This window comes from Homo sapiens, chromosome 2 (genome assembly GCF_000001405.40).
Source record: "Homo sapiens chromosome 2, GRCh38.p14 Primary Assembly".
NCBI lineage: Eukaryota > Metazoa > Chordata > Mammalia > Primates > Hominidae > Homo > Homo sapiens.
Window position 1 is genome coordinate 108266577 of NC_000002.12, and position 21330 is coordinate 108287906.

General features: G+C 43.5%; 1 pseudogene; it reads left to right on the plus strand.

Moving 5' to 3' along the window:
* WASF1P1 (WASF1 pseudogene 1) lies at window positions 10068-11367 on the plus strand (annotated as a pseudogene).

Genomic DNA, 21330 nt, shown 5'->3' on the forward strand with positions numbered 1-21330 from the left:
TTCTAAGAGCTGCCTAACAATTTAGATAGCAAGCACATAATCACATAGTGACTCCCTTTGTGACTGTGATAGAAACTGGATATATGGGCAGTATTGATCAGAATATAGGCAATAGGTCTAGAGTTTACGACTAGGCAAAACTTGCTTTTCTCCCTTTATAAACTAATTTTTTTAATTTAATTGTAAAAATATATCCCATTCTTATATTCTCTAAAAATTTCAGCCACAGAAAATACTTCTAGACTCCTCTTTTACAAAGCTCTGCTATGTCCTTTTAAACAATGCTAAAAGTACTATGAAGAAGAATTAATGGTTTAATTCAATCTTAAAATATCTTTGGTCCAGCTGCATAAAATAAACACGATGAAGATGACCATCCATGTATCCTAGATAATCTTGTGTTCTGATCACTTATTACATACTTACAGAGAGAGAGAGAGAGAGACTCCTAAATATACCACAGTCATAGAAGATCAAATTGTAAATGTTCAATTTACTTTGGAACTTTTCACTTAGAAGAAAATAAAAAGCAGCAATGGGAAGTTAGACTCATAAAATTTTAGGGTGAGAATTACAAGAGTCAGAAAAATCACATCATTCAACAATCTTGCTTTTCAGATGAGAACACTAAGAGCCAGGGAGAGAGGGATGGCCCCCACAAACAGGTCACGCAGACACGGTTCATCAGGATCCCCCGGCCCCTGGCTAGCTCCCCACACACTGCAGGAGTCACGCAGATTGCGAAAGTCTTCTCTGCAGACTTCATCTTGCACTACTCACTTCCTCTTAGCACTTGGAACAGCTTGGGTGTTCTATGGATTCTCTCTGATTACATAAGAAATTCCAAAATTTTTCTAATGGCCTATTTAGAAAAAGAAAAACAACAAAGCCTGATGGGAATCCACTTAGAAAGGCAGCTCTTCCCAGAGAGGGTCTCTGCATTAGAGCGTCTTGGAGATGTCTGTGAGCAGGAGGGAGCCCACAGCAGAAACTGCCCTTCCCCAAAGCTGAGTAAAGCCCAGCTCTGCCCTCCAGCCCCATCACAAGGCTTCTGGGATTTCTTTGGCCTGTAGGTACCAGGCTGACACCCCCTGCATCCTGCCCGACCTCATCACATCTCCCACAGGGCCTGCCCTAAGTGGAGTGGACCGAGCTCCCTATGCAGCCCCAAAGACTGTGTTCCACTGCCCTTTTCCTCATTTTACCCCTAATAATCTAGTGTGGGTTTTGCTGTTAAGGGAACTCCAAAACATCTGAGGCAAGTTTTAGTCCATATAAACTCAAGTATGGGGAATGCCAGGAAACAAATGACAGAGAGGAGGGTTAGGGACTGGAATGAAAATCCTTAACCCTTTCTAGGTGTTGTTAAAATGATCACCTGGGAGGCCATCAGACCTTAGTGCCTCCAGTGTCCCAGATTCCTATGGAAGCAAACCAAGACCCAACTCAGTTACACTGAGGACTCAACCAGTCAGAAACCACCAATCAACCCTGGACTAGGGACTTTCCAATTATTGCTCCACTTTGACCAATTAAACATTTCCCCTATCCTGCTTCCCATTCACTCTATAAAAGTCTCCCCACACGCTCCTTCAAAGGAGCCCTGAATCTTTCTGGCTTGGAGCGCCAGATTCATGAATCATTGCCTGCTCAAATAAACTCTTTAAAATGTTAACGTGTCAGAGTTTACCTCTTAACAGTTCCTATTCTATTTTTTTCAGCTTGGTAGAATTAGAGTTCATACTACAGGAATCTAACGATCAGTCTTCTCCAAAGAGGTTTTTCAACAGTGGAGGACCCTCCCAGCCCTTCTCCATTATCAGTGCCCTTTCTCTCTCCACATTCATGGGTTGTTGGTCTAGGCTCAAAGAGGTTGGTCTAGGCCACAGAGGTGGCCTGTGGGCCAAAAAATCCAGCCATTTAGTATGGCTGGGAGCTATGAATAAACTGTTTGTATACTTTTAAACAGTTGTTATAAAAACAACAGAAATGACAAAGAAGAATATGTGACCCACAAAGCCTAAAATAGTTCCTATCTGGTCCTTCACAGAAACTGTTTTCTGATCCCTAGTTTAGGAGAACCCCCCAGCAGCCCTGTTCTGTAGGCAGAGGCCCTGGACGACCATCAACCCAGCCCTGCTGTAGGCACCATGGCCATACAGGCATCACTGTTGCACACCTGCTCTATGGAGGGAGGGCAGAGGAGGAGAGAAGGGAACAAAAATTGAGTAAAGCCAAATTTGGTTTTACAAATGAATAAATATTGACAAACACCCTAAGCCCAGCTGTAGCTGGAACAGAGCATACCGCAAGACCACCATGCATGGCTGGCACAAACATCCAGGCCCTGGAGTCCTCTCTTCCCTCACAGCCTGCCCCATCAGCAGTGCTTTCTCCAGTCTGTACATCTGGGCTATCTCAGCAAATCGTAATGTCTTGCCTCTCACTGGGTGCTTCAGAATCCCTCCTCAGGAAGAAGAGGCAGTGCTCCTCGGAGACCCCTTTTCATCAAGGAGGGCTAAGCATTGGGCTGAGGGCAGCAGGAGTCAGGGACCCTCCGATGGGTCTAAGATAATCAGGGGTCCTCAGCTGTCTGCAGGCCGCCCTGGAATGCTGCGTCTTTGTTGGCAATGTGGACTGTTTCCAGCAGAGCTGTCTCCCTCAGGGTCATTGCTCCTGTCAGTCTCTGGGCACCACCTTCCACCCAGGGGGCACATTGGGAGAGTAGAGGTGAAGTGGCCATCCCTCCTCAGTGGTGCCCATTCTCTTCCTTCTCGCCCTCCATCCAGCTGGCCCTGACCCATGATCAGTCTCTGCATTTCAGTGACTCCCAAGCACACTGTGGCTTCCACTTTCCTCATTCTGCAGCCTCTTCATAAGAACAATCAACCATTCATGTTCCATATTCACCATAAGCAAAGCAAGAAAGAGAGCCCTTGCCTTTCATGAGATTCTTGGTAGTCCTCTGGGAAATCTGCCTCCCCATGCAGTCTCTCTGCATGTGCCCAGGGCCACCTCATCTTCTTGGGGACACACTCATATGGCCAGGTCCTGGAATTGCCTTACATTGGCAGCTGGTTCTTGGAAACCCCATGGAATGTGTCACACCAACTTCCTTCAAACCCTACCAAGCAGAACTCAGGGATTTTAGTACTTTCTGTAAATCTCTATCTGCCTTGGTTGACCATCCCTGAATTGACTCGTCTGTGCCTTAACTGGGCTTAAGTGAAGAAAGTCCAGTCAGAGCAGAGCATGGGTTGAGTTCATCGGACACAGAAAACGTGTCCGAGCTTCCTTCTACCCCAGCTGACAAAGGCAGCCCACCTCAGTCGGCTCAAGCTGAGTTTCTGGGTCAGCTTGCGCTGGATCTTATGTAGATGAATGAGAAGGCTCCTGAAGATCCGTATTTGTGAAGATAGGGGTCCTGGGTGAGGATTGCATGGGAGTCCCAGAAATCCAGACATCATCAGACCCTCCCAGCCTTCTTCCCAAAGAGTTCTGAGGAGCACTCCCAACAACAGGAGCCTGTGCATGGTAAAGGGCCTGCCTCCCTTTGAAACTTGTAGGGGAAGTATGCCCAGCTCTCCAAGCCAAGGGAGGTCCCAGGCCACCACAGCTCTCATGCTCCCGAGGCAGGAGTTTTTCCTCCACCCACCTTCCCATCTGGAAGCACCTCCTGGGAAGTGGTGTACATATTGTGGTCCCAGGAATAAGCAGGTGGGCATAGAAGAGACCAATAGTATATGTGGGCCATGATGGCAAGGACCATAAAGTAAGTGCAGGTGCAGTTTTCAGATGGTGACCTGAACATGGCCTCCAGCCAGAAGATAAGGATCAAGAAGGGTTATGCATGGCTGATGGACAGCTCTCCACCTGTTAGGTCATCCCCAGTGTGCAGCTGGATTGCTGTGGGCTTTTGGGTCATTGGGCCTCCAGGAGCAGTCATTAGTGATGTCCACTCACAGAGTTCAGACCTAGGTACAAAGTTTAGCAGAAAAAGGTGGACTAACTGACTAGGGTTTGGTCCACCCCTAGGTTTAAAACTCCAGAGTCCAGCATGTCCCTAACCAGAAGGCCACTGGCTGCCCGCCTAAGCTCCAAACTGATGGAGAACAGCCCCGACCACCACCAGTACCCACCATGGAAATTAGGGAACAATACGGGTGCAGGGAGAGGCAGACCAGGCCGGCTTCCGACAGAAGACTCAGTGTAGAATCAGTTGCAACAGCCATATAAAAGTTAAGATGCCCTCCCTAGCAACTCACGTGGACATGAGCCCAAGAAACTAGCACAAAACATCTCCAGTCATGCCCCTTGAGGTCCCAGGGACCTTGATTACACCCTGGTTGTAATCAAGCAGGAAACTGCAATCAGTCACAGCACTTTGGCCTAACTACACGCCAGGCTGAATGTCCAAAGGTTGTTCGCACAGGAAAAACCTTAGGAGCATCCTGCTAGGGGCTGGTGTGCCAGGCAGACATCATTGTGAAATCCCACAGTGTGCAAGCAACCTGTGCCATCCTGTATTTGGGTTTGGGTTGCCAGAAGCAGATCCTGGTATGAGGGTTTCTGTGCAAGGGATTTATTTAAAAAGTATTCCTAGGAGAGAATTATCAGTGTGTGGTGAGGCAGGCTGGAGAGGAAGTAGCCAAGCAAGGGTATGGACTTAGCATAGTCCTAGGTGCAGCCTGATCCTCAGGGGGCAATGCAGGGATTGTCCCTACTTGAGTCAGGGAACTGGGCTTTCCTGGGGCATGACATAATCACTCCCTCTGAGAGGCCCCAGGGCAATGTCAGCTCCCATACCTGTGTTCTCTGAGCCTGTGCTCTCTAAGCCTCTGGGCAAAGCCACTCAGTCCCCAAGGTCCAGGCTCATAGAAGAAAGGGTAGGGGATGAGGTGAGGACTGGCAGTGGGGATCCGAGGGCATCTGGGCGGAGCACTAGGAACTCAGCTTCATTACCAGGGAGCATCAGTGAGGATGAACCCACTTTTGAATCCCACATGAAAAACCCAGCACTGTGTGAGTGCACCAAGAACCTTGAGCTCTGTATGGTTGAAAAGCTTCCTTCTGAAGTTGGAGCTGGTAGTTGTTGAATACAGGGTGCACATGGGGGCTGAGGATGGTGATGAACTACAGTGGTGGCACATGTGGGATTGATTGATCTGCCAGCTCAGCATTGATCTGTGAGCTCTGCCCTGGTCTTTGCCAGCCAAGCTGGAGGGCCTTCAGCCTTAAGGGAAGTCCCCCTTCTTATCCCACCACACCCTGCTGCCCTGATATGGAGAATGGCTACTTAGGTAGGAAACCCTAGAATGTGAGATGCAACATCCTAGCCCCTTTCCATGGGGCAGGGGGTATGGGTCCAAGCCAGGAGGGTCCTAGGACAGGGTGTTTCCTACTCAGGGCAGCAGGCCCTTCTGTAATTGAGAGACCCGGGGTCAGAGTCACAGAAACGAAACGAAACGAAACAGAAACAAAGATGGAACCTGAGACCCGGAAGCTGGAAAAGACACTCTGGGGAGGGCCCGAGGCATGTCTCATGACTAAAACACAACACTGAAGGCACAGGGGATGCGAAAGGAACAGGAAGAACAGGAAAAGTAAACAACCAGAAAGGATTCCTGGGAAAATGCCTGAACACTGAGCTATGATGATGACAAAACTCATAGACAGACTTGCTCCACTTAAACTAAAGGCACAAAATAATGTTTGTTTTTTGGGTATATTAAATGGATCTTTACTTAATTTCTGAAAGGAAGCTGAAAATATAAAACTGCTATACTTTTCCACCTGACACTGAATATTATAATGAAATCTCTGATTGTGATATATCGATGATAGATAGATAATAGATATAGATATAGATATATACAGACAGATGAAGAACTGTTTTTCAGTGTATTTAGCTATGTAAGTACACCTTGATGCCTGCACGCCATGGGATTTCACAGAGATGTCTGCCTGGCAATCAGCTCCCAGCAGGATGCTCCTTAGAAGACTAAGCGTTTGCCTTGGCAAGAAGCCTTTGGACATTCAGCCCGGTGTGCGATTATGCCAAAGTCGATCTAAAGCTGAAAAACTACTTGGAAATAATAAAGCAATCTCAACACAAGGCTTTACATAGTGTGCCTGTGAAGGTCTGTGATCAAAAGCCTTGAATTTCAGCCTTGTTTCCGGAATGTTGTCATAAATGTTAGTCGACAATCTATAGAACTGGAAGTCTTTCATTTCTCAGGCACAGGGACCTGACTCATGCTTCTCAAGCACACTTATACCTCTGTCAACCCATCCAAAGGCATCTCACCTTAAATATATTTCTGATTAAGAGATGGGGGTTCAGGCTGGGCGCAGTGGTTCATGCCCGTAATCCTAGCACTTTGGGAGGCCGAGGCAAGCAGATCACTTGAGGCCAGGAGTTCAAGACCAGCAATGGTCAACATGGTGAAACTCCATCTCTACTAAAAGAAACATACAAAAATGAGCTGTCTGTGTTGGTGGGCACCTGTAATCCCAGCTACTTGGGAGGCTGAGGCAGGAGAATCGCTTGAACCTGGGAGGCAGAGGTTGCAGTGAGCCGAAATAGCGCCACTGCACTCCAGCCTGGGTGACAGAGCGAGACTCCATCTCAAAAAAAAAAAAAAAAAGAGAGATGGGGGTTCTTTGTTAAAAAAAAAAAAGAAAGAAAGAGAGAGAGAGAGAGATGGAATATTATAACCTTCCAACTTAGTGGGAGATGGAAATAAGAAAACACTGTAAGGATCCTTCCAACCTAGAGCCTATGAACTTGAAATGCAAATGTGAATAGATCATCTTCTCCCTTCAAAAGCTCCAAATGGAACCTCTATGTGATTTGCTCCCACATCTAATTCTTCAGTTCCAAATATTCTGCAGGATTATTATGTTTTCAACTGCCTAGCAGATCTTCCCACCTCCACAAGTAATATCCCTCCATAGTACCTCAGTGTTGGAAATGCTTAAAATGACCCTCTTCGTGCTGCTGCTCCTTCTCCTCCTTAACCATTTATTCCTTGTAATTTCTAATTTCCAATTGCTGTTTATGAAAATCAGTATTTTATTGGGTATCTTTCCCCTTGATGTCCAGTAACTTAAATACTATGATATAAAAGTAATAATACTTAAGCATTATAATTTAAAAGCAATACATCTTCTATTACTTGATGGGGATGAGAGAAGGAAGAAAACAAGGACTTTGCTTAATATACATTTATATAACACATTCATAACAAAAAATACTCATGACAATTACAGCCCTCATTTCTATAAACGGTTGTGTGGTCATACCTGATACTTATAACTACCTTCTTCCATTACCCATTCCATATTCCTGTGCTTCCTACAAACACCTCAGCTAGTCATGCACCATTACCTGGTGAGGTTACCCAAGCCTTCATCCTGAAGGATCTGGACCATAAGTAGTCCTGCCCGAATTCAGCTGTAGTTTTCCATTGAACTTAATCACAAGGCATGGTATACAAACACTCAAAGTTATCTCCTGGATTCCAGACATCCTCTTGCTTGTTTCTATTGTGGAGCATGGGGGCCATGGACATTTGGGACGCTTCTTCATGTAACTTACTTGTGCCTTTAGAGCCTGCTCAGGCCCAATCATGTGTACATCACTTCCATTTCATGGTGAGTTGCTGCTCTGCACACCCAAGTTTATGGCTTTGTGGATTAGATGATAGTTCATGATAGGCACTCAGGTCATATGGTAACTTGGGTGTCCATGGTTAAGCATTCAGTCTCTACCTAGGCCCAGTAGCAGGCCAAGAGCTGTCTCTCAAAAGGAAAGTAGTTATCTGTGGAAGATAGCATTGGCTTGCTCCAAAATCTTAAAGACCTGTGCTGTGATTCACCTGCCAAAGATTCCACACAGCATCCCTGTCTGCCATCGACACCTCAAGCACCACTGGATCTGCTGGGTCATGTGGCACAAACGGCAGAACAGCTTGTGCAGCAGCCTGGACCTATTGCAGAGACTTCTGCTCTTCTGGGTCCTTCTTAAACATAATGAATTTTCAGATTGCTCAGCAAATGAGCTGATATAAGACACACAAAGAGGAAGATGATGCCTCCAAATTCCCAAGAGGCCTACTGAGCATTGTGCCTCATTTTTGGTAGTAGAAGGAAAAAGATGCAAGAACTTACCCTTCACATGAGAAGGGATATTTCAACATGCCCCATACCACTGGACCCTTAGAAATTTCATGGAGGCAGAAGGCCCCTGAATTTTAGACAAATTTATTTCCTACCCTCTGACACTCAAATGTTGTACCAACAAGCCCAGAGTGGTTGCTACTTCTCGCTCACTAGGTCCAATCAGCATAATGTCATCAATAAACAGAACAGAGTAATATCTCATGGAAGAGAAAGGTAATCACATCTCTGTGAACTAAATTATGACTTAGAGCTGGAGAACTGATAGAACCCCAAGGAACAATAGTGAGGCATGTTGCTGGCCTTGCCAGCTAAAAGCAAACTGTTTCTTATGAGCGTTATGGACAGGCATGGAGAAAAATGAATTTACCAGATAAATAGCTACATGTCAGTTCTCAGGGATGTGTTAATTTCCTCAAGCAATGAAACCACATCTGATGTAGCAGCTGTAATTAGAGTCACCACCTGGTTAAACTTATGATAATTCACTGTCATTCTTTAAGATCCATCTGTCACCAGTTAGAATGGTGATCATTAAAAAGTCAGGAAACAACAGGTGCTGGAGAGGATGTGGAGAAATAGGAACACTTTTACACTGTTGGTGGGACTGTAAACTAGTTCAACCATTGCGGAAGTCAGTGTGGCGATTCCTCAGGGACCTAGAACTAGAAATACCATTTGACCCAGCCATCCCATTACCGGGTATATACCCAAAGGATTATAAATCATGCTGCCATAAAGAACACGTATGTTTATTGCAGCACTATTCACAATAGCAAAGACTTGGAACCAACCTAAATGTCCAACAACAATAGACTGGATTAAGAAAATGTGGCACATATACACCATGGAATACTATGCAGCCATAAAAAATGATGAGTTCATGTCCTTTGTAGGGACATGGATGAAACTGGAAACCATCATTCTCAGCAAACTATCGCAAGGACAAAAAACCAAACGCCGTATGTTCTCACTCATAGGTGGAAATTGAACAGTGAGAACACATGGACACAGGAAGGGGAACATCACACACCAGGGACTGTTGTGGGGTGGGAGGAGGGGGGAGGGATAGCATTAGGAGATATACCTAATGCTAAATGATGAGTTAATGGGTGCGGCACACCAACATGGCACATGTATACATATGTAACCTGCACGTTGTGCACATGTACCCTAAAACTTAAAGTATAATAATAATAAAATTAAAAAACAAACAAACAAACAAACAAACAAAAAAGATCCATCTGTCTTCTGCACGGGCCAAACAGGAGAGTTGCATGGGGATGTGGTGGGAGTCATCATCCCTGCATCTCTCACATCCTTGATGGTGGCACTAATCTCTGCAGCCTCTCTAGAAATGTGGATTTGCTTTTGATTTACCATTTTCCTAGGTAAAGGCAGATCTAGTGGCTGCCACTTGGCTTTTTCCACCTTAATAGCCCTCACTCCACAAGTCAAGGGAATAATGTGAGAATTCTGCCAGCTGCTAAGTATGTCTAGGCCAATTGTACATTTCAGAACTGGGGAAATACCCACAGGATGGGTTCAGGAACACACCGGACCCACTGTGAGAAGGACCTGAGCTGAATTCCATGGCTCACCTGACCGCCATAAGCCACTACTCTGACTGTGGTGGGCCACAGCGGAATTTTGGATCTCTGGAACTTAGTGTCAGTTCAGGGCCCATGTGTTTAGTAGTGCCCCAAGGGTCTGATTATTTTCTTTTCTTCAGTGCATAGTCACCCTGGTAAAAGATAATAAGTCCTTTTGAGGAAGGCTGGAAGAAAGATTATAAATTTTGGTGGTGTACTGAGGCCCATCCGCAAAGAAAGCACAAACAAAAATTAAAAATAAGTAAATGGAGCTTCATCAAAATTACAGACTTTGGACTTCAAAAGATACTATCAAGAAAATTAAAAAAAAAAAAACTATAGAATAGAAGAAAATATTCATTAATCCTATATCTGACAAGGGACTTCAGCATAAAATATAAAAAGAACTCCTACAACTCAAAATAAAAATGGACAAACAGCCCAATTTTTAAATGGGCAAACTTATATCAATCCTTCACATTTCTTTGATTTATGAAAGAAAAAATGTTGCAACATATAGAAGATCAGAGGAAGGAAAGGAGGAAGCAGAAGCTAGAAAAATCTAGATTGTCTTCATGAGCCAGACAGAGGATGGCAGAAGCTGGCCCAAGTCTGGAGCTGGCTGAAGATGAGGCCAATCTCTTTGCAGCAAAGCCCCCAAAGCATGTGGATCATGTGGATGGATTTTTTCACTTTCTGCCTTGTCATTTAGTCTAACAACTGAGACTCAGATGAGAGCTGAGTAAAAGGTCTCAGTCAGGCCACATGAACCACCTCCACCTCCACTAATTCAAGGAAGAAGAGGTGCAAAACCCATGCCCACCTGTGTAAATGCTGCTGCAGGTTTGATAGAAAATCATGCTCAGTCACCAGCTATAGGCAATACACGTGTCTCTGTGAGCTCCATCCCCACACCTCCTCCACCACCCCTTCCATCTCCCCTGTCAATGTCTTCATTAGGAGCTTCAGTGACTTCAACTGCTCTCCACCAAGACCTCTCCCACCTCTGCCTCCACCTCCAAACACTGCCTTGGGAACTCCAGCAGTACCACCTCCTCCAGCGCCTTTCCACATTTTCCCCAGCCATCTTCACCCAGCTCCTCTTCCAGCTGCTCCTCTACACAGCCCTCTCTGCCAGGAATTAGTGCTGTCCCAGTTCATCCATCCCACAAGACATCCAAGGCTACCTCCAGCCCCACACTACCTTCTCTGGCTCCACTTGGTATTCAACCATCATCATCTGTCACAGTTGCAGTCCTGCTCATCCTCTCTCTGGCTACATCCAACTTCACCTACTGCTGTCCCAAGTCCCCAAGCTCCATGAATGACCCCAACTCCTCCAACACAAGTTACGTCTGCTTATGAGCCGAAGTGTCATCTCCCAGCTGTACCTATAGTCTGGGTTGCCAAGAGTGTACTTCTGGAAGCAGTAAGGAAAGGTGTTCGGTTACACAACGTAGAAGAGCAGGGTGTAAAGAGAGCTCACCATGAAGACATTGAAAATGATGTTGCCACCGTCCTGTCTTGCCATACTGCTGTGGAATCTAGTGATTCAGAAAATGTTTCCAAATTTGATGAAGTAGACTGGTTGGAGAAATATGCATTGATAAATATTAAAAATTCAATGTAAGTGACCTTTGTGGTGCTTGTTCTTTGAAAATGTTTGCTCATTCTAGTGTTTTACTTTATTTTCCTTATGATAAATAACTTTTCCTCCATAAATTTTTATTTCTAAGAAAAATATTTCAAACTAAATGCTTTACAAGTGGTTCATTTTCTTCCCCTAACAAAATCCAATTTGGTCAGATAAACTACTAAGTGTTGAGCGTGGACATCTGTTAGAGTAGCAGATTCAGTTTTTGGACACATTTTAATTGTACACTTCATGAATTTTAATTTAAAGAAAGCCACCGAGATTGAAAAGATTGAAATCTTGAGGGCAGCTACATCTGTTAATGAGCATTTGTCCATTTCATGATATTTTAAAAGAATAAACTGCCTTGATTACAGAATCATTCAAAAAGTACATTTAGCTTGTCGTGTTGAACTCTCATAAAGGAATTTTGAATTTTTATAATATTATTTTGTTTTTAAATACTTAGCTCTTAGTTGAAAGTTTTGTTGTACCCCCTTCCTCCTTATAAACTGTGTACTATGATGTTGCTAGCCCATAACAGTTAAAAATTTTCCACATTAAATGCTCTGGCTTAAACATACATATAATTATATAACTGCTAAAAATGATTTTTATAATGGGCAAAGAACTTGAATAGACATTTTTTCCAAAGAAGATATAAAAATGGCCAAAAGATACTCAGCTTAATGAGTCATTAAGGAAGGCAAATTAAAACCACCATGAGATGCCACTTCCTACTCATTGGGATGGCTATGATAAAAAAGGAAGATGATAACAACAGTTGGTGGAGGATGTAGAGAAATTTTATCCCTCATACACCGGGAGTAGGAATGTAAAATGATGCAACTACTTGGGAAAATAGTCTGGCAGTTGCCCAAAAAGTTCAATAGAGTCACCATTTGACCCAGTAATTCCACTTCTAGGTATATACTCAAAAGAAATGAAAAGCTCTGTCCACACAAAAACTTATACATAAATGTCTATAGTGGCATTACTCCCAAAGCTAAAAGAAGGAAACAACCCAAATGTCCATCAACCGATGGAAGGATACACAAAATGTAGTATATTCCTAGAACAGAATACTATTCAGCCATAAAAGGGAATGAAGTGCGAGACAGGCTACAACATGGGTGAACCCTGAAAAGATAATGAAATTAAAATGTTAAGATTGAGAATATTATGAAAGAAGCCTGTCACAAAAGATCACACACTGTATGATTCCATTTATATGAGATGTCCAGACTAGGGAAATCTACAGGGATATAAAGTAGAATTGAGATTGCTGAGGGCTGGGAGCAGGAGGCTGGAGGATGGCATCTAAAGGGCACCGCATTTTGGGAGGGCAATGAAAATGTTCTGAAATTGATTGTGGCACAACTCTGTGAATATGGCAAAAAAAACCACTGAATTGTGCATTTTAAGTGAGTGGGCGAATTGTATGGCGTGTGAACTACACCTAAATAAAGTTGTTATGAAAAGAAAAAAAGGTCAGCAATATGGAGCCTTCAAGATGACACTGGCAACTCACATGAGGAGAATGACCACAAAGAAGCCAGAGGTGCAGGGAGGAAAAAGTTTACTGAAAGTGACTTTTACGTCAAATTCAAGAGTTTCCTCTTTATTCTAAACAGCAGAGTGGGCAAGCCAAAGCTCACTGCCTGTTTTTGTAAATAAAGTTTTATTGGAACACAGCCCCAACTATCTGTGTAATGTTGTCTGTGGCTGCTGTCACAAATCAGCGGCCGACTTGAGTAGCTGCAACTGACATCATGTGATTGGCAAAGCGTGAAGCAGTCACCACTTGGCCTCTTACAAAGAAAGCTTGCTGACCCCGGCTATGCACAGGGTGAAGCCCCTGAGATGTTTAGAAGGTATCTCTGTTGGCTACTTGGGGGGCGGTTTGATGGAGAACAAGGAGAGCACGCTTGCTCCAGTACCGTATTCTTTCTTCTCACAGGCCCCCAAAACTCCGTCAGTCTCTTTCTCTTCCCCAGAGCCGTCAGCTCCTGCTGGAACCTCCTGTCTCTCTCTCTGCTGGGGACTCCACAAAGGGAAGCATGGCCCAGCATTCCACCTCCCCCTGCCCCTAAGACTGGGGTTGCAGACCCTTTCATTTTGAGATTTTTGTATCTCATCACTATAAGGAAATAAAGAGGGAAGAAGCAAAATCCACAAGTGCTAAATTCCATAAATCATATAAAGCTCTTATTTCTTTGTTTTCTCAGTTCCTAACACAATGCCTGGTGATAAATGAATGGTGAATGAATGAATGAATGAATGAGTGAGTGAATGAATGAATGGTGATCCTTGCTAATCTACTATGGAAATCTCAGTATCTCTGTATGCCTTCTCTTTTATTTCTGAGGGGAGAGTCCTTTGTGCCCTTCTGCGTGTTTTTATAGAATTCCTGGGCTCCTCCAAGTTTCTGGTTTCTGTAACAGTATCGTGATGCCAGCATCAACATTTAAACTAGTGGCCATCCCCATGAGAAGGAACTTAAATCTCACAGGAACTGAGGATAGCACATGGCCCTTTCTCTGTGGCACGATTTTCACAGAAGCTGATCACTCAGTGATTTCCTCCCACTCTGGAGAATGAATTCACCCTGGGTGTGCTTATCCCCAGAGGACAAAAATCCAACCCTGATTTTGTACCTAGGTGTGGCCAATGCTATCAAAGGTAAACTCATTAATCAGCATCCTGATAAGGTGATCCCAGAAAATGAGTTATTGGAGAAGAAGGCTGCAGCAACATAGGAGCTGCAGTCTGCCAGGATGTGGCCACACACCTCGATGGTGGGGCCAATGGCAATCAGGCCTTCCTGCTGCCAGTTAACCCTGAGTCAGGGTACTCAGATAGCCCAAAAGCGAGACCTGACTAATGGCCCTTTCAGCAAAACCAGGACCTGGACCCTAACTTCCTCACCCGATGATACACCACTTGTCCTTAAATGCCGAGTGTCAGTAATCAGAGAGACAGAGAGACAGAGAGAGAATGTATTTGTAACTTTTCTTTATTTTTTGTTTTTTTGGAAAAAAATACACATGCATTTTAATGTTTTCAATCAGATTACCAAAGGCCCTTCAAACTGTACCATTTTATCTCTTACTAATAGTATTTTTTTTAATACTTTAAGTTCTGGAATACATGTGCAGTACATGCAGGTTTGTTACGTAGGTATACATGTGCCATAGTGGTTTGCTGCACCCATCATCAACCAGTCATCTACATTAGGTATTTCTCCTAATGTCATCTCTCCCCTAGCCGCCCGCCCTGCAACAGGCCCTGGTGGGTGATGTTCCCCTCCTGTGTCCATGTGTTCTCATTGTTCAGCTCCCACTTATGAGCTTTTCTTTTAGTCCTTTAAATGAAATGAATTAAAACATTAAATATAAAATATGCTATTAATTTGATAAGCGCATGGGATTCTTAGCCCTTTAAAAGACAAGAATAAATTGCAGATGACCTTGGCTAGTAAGAAAAATGTCTTCAAAAAGTGATACTGCTCCACACCTTCAACCATCAAATTACCCTTTACACTTAACATGTGAGACCCCAAGGATGAGCAAACTTCCACAGAGGAGAGAGTGAGTTATAACTGTTTTAAACATGTGGTCAGAGCACCCTCAGGTATTTGGGGAGGGGATTCAGGGGTAAGCTCTGCTGTGAGAAAGTAGCTGAGGCCCTTTGCCTCCAGAAATCCAGCCTGGAGGCCTGGACTTGAGGGAAATGACTCAGCAAGGAATACATCTCATGTTGGTGCCAGTCCCACTACTCTACATTCACCAGGAAACAAAGCTATAGCAGGTGGCCTTAAAATGGAGAGTGATGTGGTATTCAAAAGCCTCAATTAGAGAAGCAGCCTTCTGGGGTTCAAACCCATGCTCTGCAGCTGTGATCTGGAGCAAGGTATTTACCCCTCGTTGTCGTCATGACAGGGGAATAATAATAGCAGCTACCCCACAGGGTTACTGGAGGTCTACATGAAGTAATAAAAATGTGAAATACCTAGAATTGTGCCAGTTGTATAGTAAGACATATTATATCATATTATATCATCACAGAGATATTTTGACTGAAAGAAAAGCCACTAAACAATAAAATGCAGAAGTTTGTTTACTGAAACATGGATACCTTGAAGAACAATAACTATAGTGTCAAAATAACCCACTTGGATTGGCTGACATCTATATCTGGTAAGTAGACCTACAGATAAAATACTGGACTGTATGAGCCCACTGTGTACTTGGATGACCAAGAACTATAACAATTTCTGGAGAGAAGTATATTAGAGTAGGAAGTCCTGGAAGAACTGACACAGAAGAAATAGGCTCAGCCACCAAGACCCTGTCATTGGCCCCTTAAGACTATTACAGTTCAGTGGGACAGTGAGCTACCCAGTGTCACAGTCATCTACACTCTACCTACTGAGATGCCGCAACCCAGAATCTGTTCCTGCTGAAGTTCTTTTCAGAAGTCAAAAATTCTGCCCCTTAAATTACCCTCTATAACCTGGGTCTGTTAATTGCCTCATGCCCTCTAAAGAACCAGTCTAAAACCCGCCATATTTATTTGGATACATCCTTCCGTTCTGCCCATCTTTTAGTTTTAGTTGCTGAGCTGGAAAGCATTAAGAAAACAAGAATCTGCTCTGTAGAAAAATATCATTATATTCTGATTGGAGAAGAACATAAATTGAGTAGAACATGTGGAAAACATACAAAGACAGAAAGAAAAAGCAACTGTAATTGGATCCTAGTTTCTCATCATCACTAAAATTTTACATATCCTGACCTTCTGATTTTAGACATTCTGGTGTTTGGGTAGTAGTACTGAATTGTGATATAATTTTCAATTGAATTTATTTAAAATAGCATGAGCTGGGCACAGTGGCTCATGCCTGTAATTCCAGCACTTTGGGAGGCTGAGGCAAGCAGATCACTTGAGGCCAAGGGTTCAAGACCAGCCTGGCCAATATGGTGAAACCCCGTCTCTACCCCTAATACAAAAAAATTAGCCACGTGTGGTGGTGCGCACCTGTAATCCCAGCTACCCAGGAGGCTGAGGAAGGAGAATTGCTTGAACCCAGAAGGCGGAGGTTGCAGTGAGCCAAGATTGCACCACTTCACTCCAGCCTGGGCAACAGAGTGAAACTGTGTCTAAAAAAATGAATAAATACATAAATAAAATAGCTTATTTAATTACTTGATTTGATTTATTTCTCTGGTAATTACTGATGTTGGCATCTTCATGTATTTATTGGTCAGATCATCATTTATGAAGTACCTGTTCAGGTCTCTTGCCCACTTTTCTATTTGGCTATCAGTCTTTTTCTCATAGATTTGTAGGAGTTCTTTATATAATCTGGATACAAATTTTTTAACAACTGCTATGTTACAACTATCTTCTTTCACCTTGTAGCTTGCCTGGTGGCAGGTAGTTGAATCATGAGGGTGGGTTTTCCCCATGCTGTTCTTGTGATAGTGAATATGTCTCATGAGATCTGGTGATTTTATAAAGGGCAGTTCCCCTGCACATGCTCTCTTGCCTGCTGCCATGTATGATGTGCCTTTGCTCCCCTTTACCTTCTGCCATGATTGTGAGGCCTCCCCAGCAATGTGGAACTGTGAGTCCATTAAATCTCTTTTTCTTTATAAATTTCCCAGTCTCAGTTAATTCTTCTTAGCAGTATGAAAATGGATGAATGCAATCCCATTCGACAAGTGGTTCCCACATCCTTCCCCCATTCCCACCCACAGTGACACATCTCATCCCAAGAGATGAGTATGGCTAACACAGGGGTAGAGGCTTTGGTGTATCTTTTTCCATACAGTTGTTGATGGACAAAACATTTTTTACAAAGACAGGATCACACCAAACACATCATTTTGTAATATGCTGTTTCGCTCACTATATGATCAGTTATTCAGTGTCCTAACATATGTACAAAACATTATTTATTAATTTGAGAAATCCTTAAAGTGTGTTGGGACTATCATAGGTCTACTTTTCTATGTTTTTGAAGGGTTCAATTATCACATATGATAGACCCAGAAACTTGCACAGGGAGCCCCCATTTAAAAATTGACTGCGCTCAAAGTATACTTTCAGTCTTTTGAAACTTGAAAGATATTTTCCCAAAAAACAATGCTGAAATGAGTACTAGGTTCTCAAGATTAGAGTAATATCTACAATGAACTCACAAGGTAGCTGAAACACCAGGCACTCCAAATGAATCATAAGTAAAAAGATAACGCTACTGCAAAACTAGCTATTAAATGAAACAGATTATTGTATTTACTTGAATGTCTGTGCCTTAAAACAAACTGCCAATTTAGCTGGAGAAAATGGTAAATGAAGTTGAAAACTACCATGGAATTTTGAAAGAAACTTTTATTTTTTTGTTTTGTTTTGTTTTGTTTTGTTTTTATTATTATTACACTTTAAGTTTTAGGGTACATGTGCACAATGTGCAGATTTGTTACATATGTATACATGTGCCATGTTGGTGTGCTGCACCCATTAACTCGTCATTTAACATTAGGTATATCTCCTAGTGCTATCCCTCCGCCCCCGCTACCCCACAACAGTCCCTGGAGTGTGATGTTCCTCTTCCTGTGTCCATGTGTTCTCATTGTTCAATTCCCACCTATGAGTGAGAACATGCGGTGTTTGGTTTTTTGTCCTTGCGATAGTTGGCTAAGAATGATGGTTTCCAGCTTCATCTACGTCCCTACAAAGGACATGAACTCATCATTTTTTATGGCTGCATAGTATTCCACGGTGTATATGTGCCACATTTTCTTAATCCAGTCTATCGTTGTTGGACATTTGGGGTCTATTTTTCAAAGCTCCAAAAACTGATATTAGTGTGTTATGGGTTGAATTGAGTCCCCCTCAAAAATGTTGAAGTCTTAACTCCCAGTGCTCGTGAACGTGACTTTATTTGGAAATATGATATTTGCAGAGGAGATCATTAGGGTGAGCCTTAATCCAATATGACTGATATCCTTATAAAAGGGGGAAATTTGGACACAGACACACACAATGAAGACAGAGATTGGGGTGGTGCCTGCAAACCACCAGAAGCTGGGAAAGAAGCATGAAACAGATTCTCCCTCACAGCTCGAGAAGAAGCCCATACTGCACCTTGATCTTGGACTTTTACTTATCAGAGCTGTGAAACAAGAAGTTTCTGTAGCTTAAGCCACCCAATTTGTACAGAAACCCTGGGAAACTAATGCAATGTGATTCTTCATTATTTCTAACTTTGTGTCAATCATGTCTCAGGATTTCTCTCTTCCTTAATACAAATGTGCCACATCCCCATGCCAACAGCCATCAGCCATGGCTGGAGTGGAGCCAGGGTCAGCAAATGGAAGGATGAGTAGGAGAATATGAAAGAAAGGAGATAGTAGAAAGTGAGGGAGAAAAAGACTTGTTCCATCTTTCCCTGGGTGACTGGACAAGAATTAGACAAGAAAAGAGAAAGGGAGAATTAAAGCCAATGAGCATTGCAAAGTAAGAAAAATGGCTTGAGAGACATGTAATTATGTGAATTGCGGATGGTCAAAAACAGAAGGAAAAAAATTTAAACGACAAGGGAGCACAAGCCAGGAGAATGCTGAGCCAGTTTCCTGGATAATAAGCGAGATCCATGAAGTTACAAAGGAGTCAGAGTTTGCCCACCTAGTACCTCACCACCTGCAGGAAAGAGCTCATCTGCTCTCTTGTGGACTTGGTCAAAGGATCTGTGTGACTGAGGCAAGTGTTACAAAGCTTGCCTGAAGCAGTTGCAGCTGTAGGACATAGCACCCAGAAGGAATGGCTATGTCCCGGGGGGAGACCTTTGCTCCCGCTGCTCCTCAAAGCCAGCCTGCTGGAACACAGGCACCTTCCACTTTGTGCCAGTGGCACAAAGCAGCTTGGCTACTTTTCCCAATTGAAAACCATGATCAGATCCCTCACAAAACTCTTCCAGGAGGCAATAGTGACTTTGGTCTTTCTAGCGGGACAGAGGCTGCCGTGTAGACATTCCCCTAACTCCAAAGAAGGCACACTTTACCTGGTTCTCAGAAACAGCTCAGAAAGTTCCAGAGGTACATGAATCACAAATCAGGGAAAAATCCATGTGGATGGATTATGTATAAACCAGGGCAGGGACTAGGGTGAGGTAAGGGCATAGCATTGAAGGAGGCATTCATTCTCTTGCACGGCCCTGGAGCGAGTGTCTCCTTACATTTTGCACCTTAGTTCCCTCATTCAAGTCCCAGTCCCGGTGAAAACTAAAGTTTTTGTTTCATTCATTTGTTTATTCATTCAGTAAGTATATTAATCCAGTTGAATGGGTACATGGTACAGGTGGTCTTAGAGATAGGCCCCAATCGACACACTGGGAGGGTAGTTAATTTCCTCATTCAAGTAAAAACAGAAAATTGCTGTAAGAGAAGGCCAAATTAATCCTATGGACCACACATTGTATGATTCAATTTATATAAAATGTCCACAATAGACAAGTCTATAGAGACACAAAGTAGATTTTGGTTTCTTAAAGCTGGAGATGGTGGTAGGAGGAATTAGGCATGACTATTAATAAATATGGGGTTTCATTTTGGGGTGATGAAAATATTCCAAAATTGAGTGTGATGATGGTTGCACAACTAAAAACATTGAACTGTACACTTGGGTGAAGTGCACAGTATGTGAATTTGATCTCAATAAAACTTATTTTTAAAAAAGCATATGGTAGTTCACAGAGAGATTGCTTCCAGCTATAACCTAAGGAAAGGCTTCAAGGAAAAGATGGGTTCAAAGCTGAAGAATCTGACTCTATGGAAACAGAGTAAGAACATTTTTTTAGAGATGGGATCTCACTATGTTGCCCAGGCTGGACTCAAGTAACTGGGATTACAGGTGCACAGCAGTGTGCCAGGCTAAGAGTAAGAGCATTTTTGGCAGGGAGAAACAGGAGTAAACCAGGGAGGCAGGAAATTATAGGATGCATACAGGGGACAGTAAGTCATTCAGTTCACCTGGTGTGTGGGGCCCATGGTGGGGATGGTGTTATATTAAAGAAGGCCTTGAGCCAGGCATTCAGGAGGCTTGAAGTAGGAGGATCACTTGAGCTCAGGAGGTCAAGGCTGCAGTGAGCTATGATCATGCCTCTTCACTCCAGCCTGGGCAAAAGAGTGAGACCCTGTCTTATAAAAAATAAGAATTAATGAATTTAGAAGGTCTTGAATTCCAAGTGGAAGCACCCAGAATTTGAGCCATAAACAACCAAAGGATAGCCTGATCTGAGCTGAGCTTAATTTATATGCTGAAAGTATGAGAGACTAGTAGGGAAGAGACCAGAAATAAGGAGACTGCTAGAAGATTGTGCAACATCCCAGTTCATCCTCCACAAATGTGGAGGAAGCAGATACTAGCAGTGGTTACTAACTGTAAATTCTGGGATTGTAGAGACTGTGACCCATGCAGACAGCAAAGGCAGGGAGATGCAGCATGCAGCGCAGCATGGCACCGATACTGGCAGACACTTTAGTAGACTTAGGGACTTTAACTGCAGAGAAAATGTGAGGTTGCACTAAGAACTGTGAATCAGCCCTATGGGGCTGAAAATTGACAGCACTGGGATAAGTGGAACTGGAAAGAGAGCAGAAGTAGAAAAATAAAGTTCAGCCGGGCGCAGTGGCTTATGCCTGTAATCCCAGCACTTTGGGAGGTCAAGGCGGGCAGATCACCTGGGAGCAGGAGTTGGAGACTAGCCTGGCCAACATGGTGAGACCCCGTCTCTACTAAAAATACCAAAAAAAAATTAGCTGGGCATGGTGGCGCACGCCTGTAGTCCCAGCTACTCAGGAGGCTGAGACAGGAGAATCGCTTGAACCCGGGAGGCGGAGGTTGCAGTGAGCCAAGATT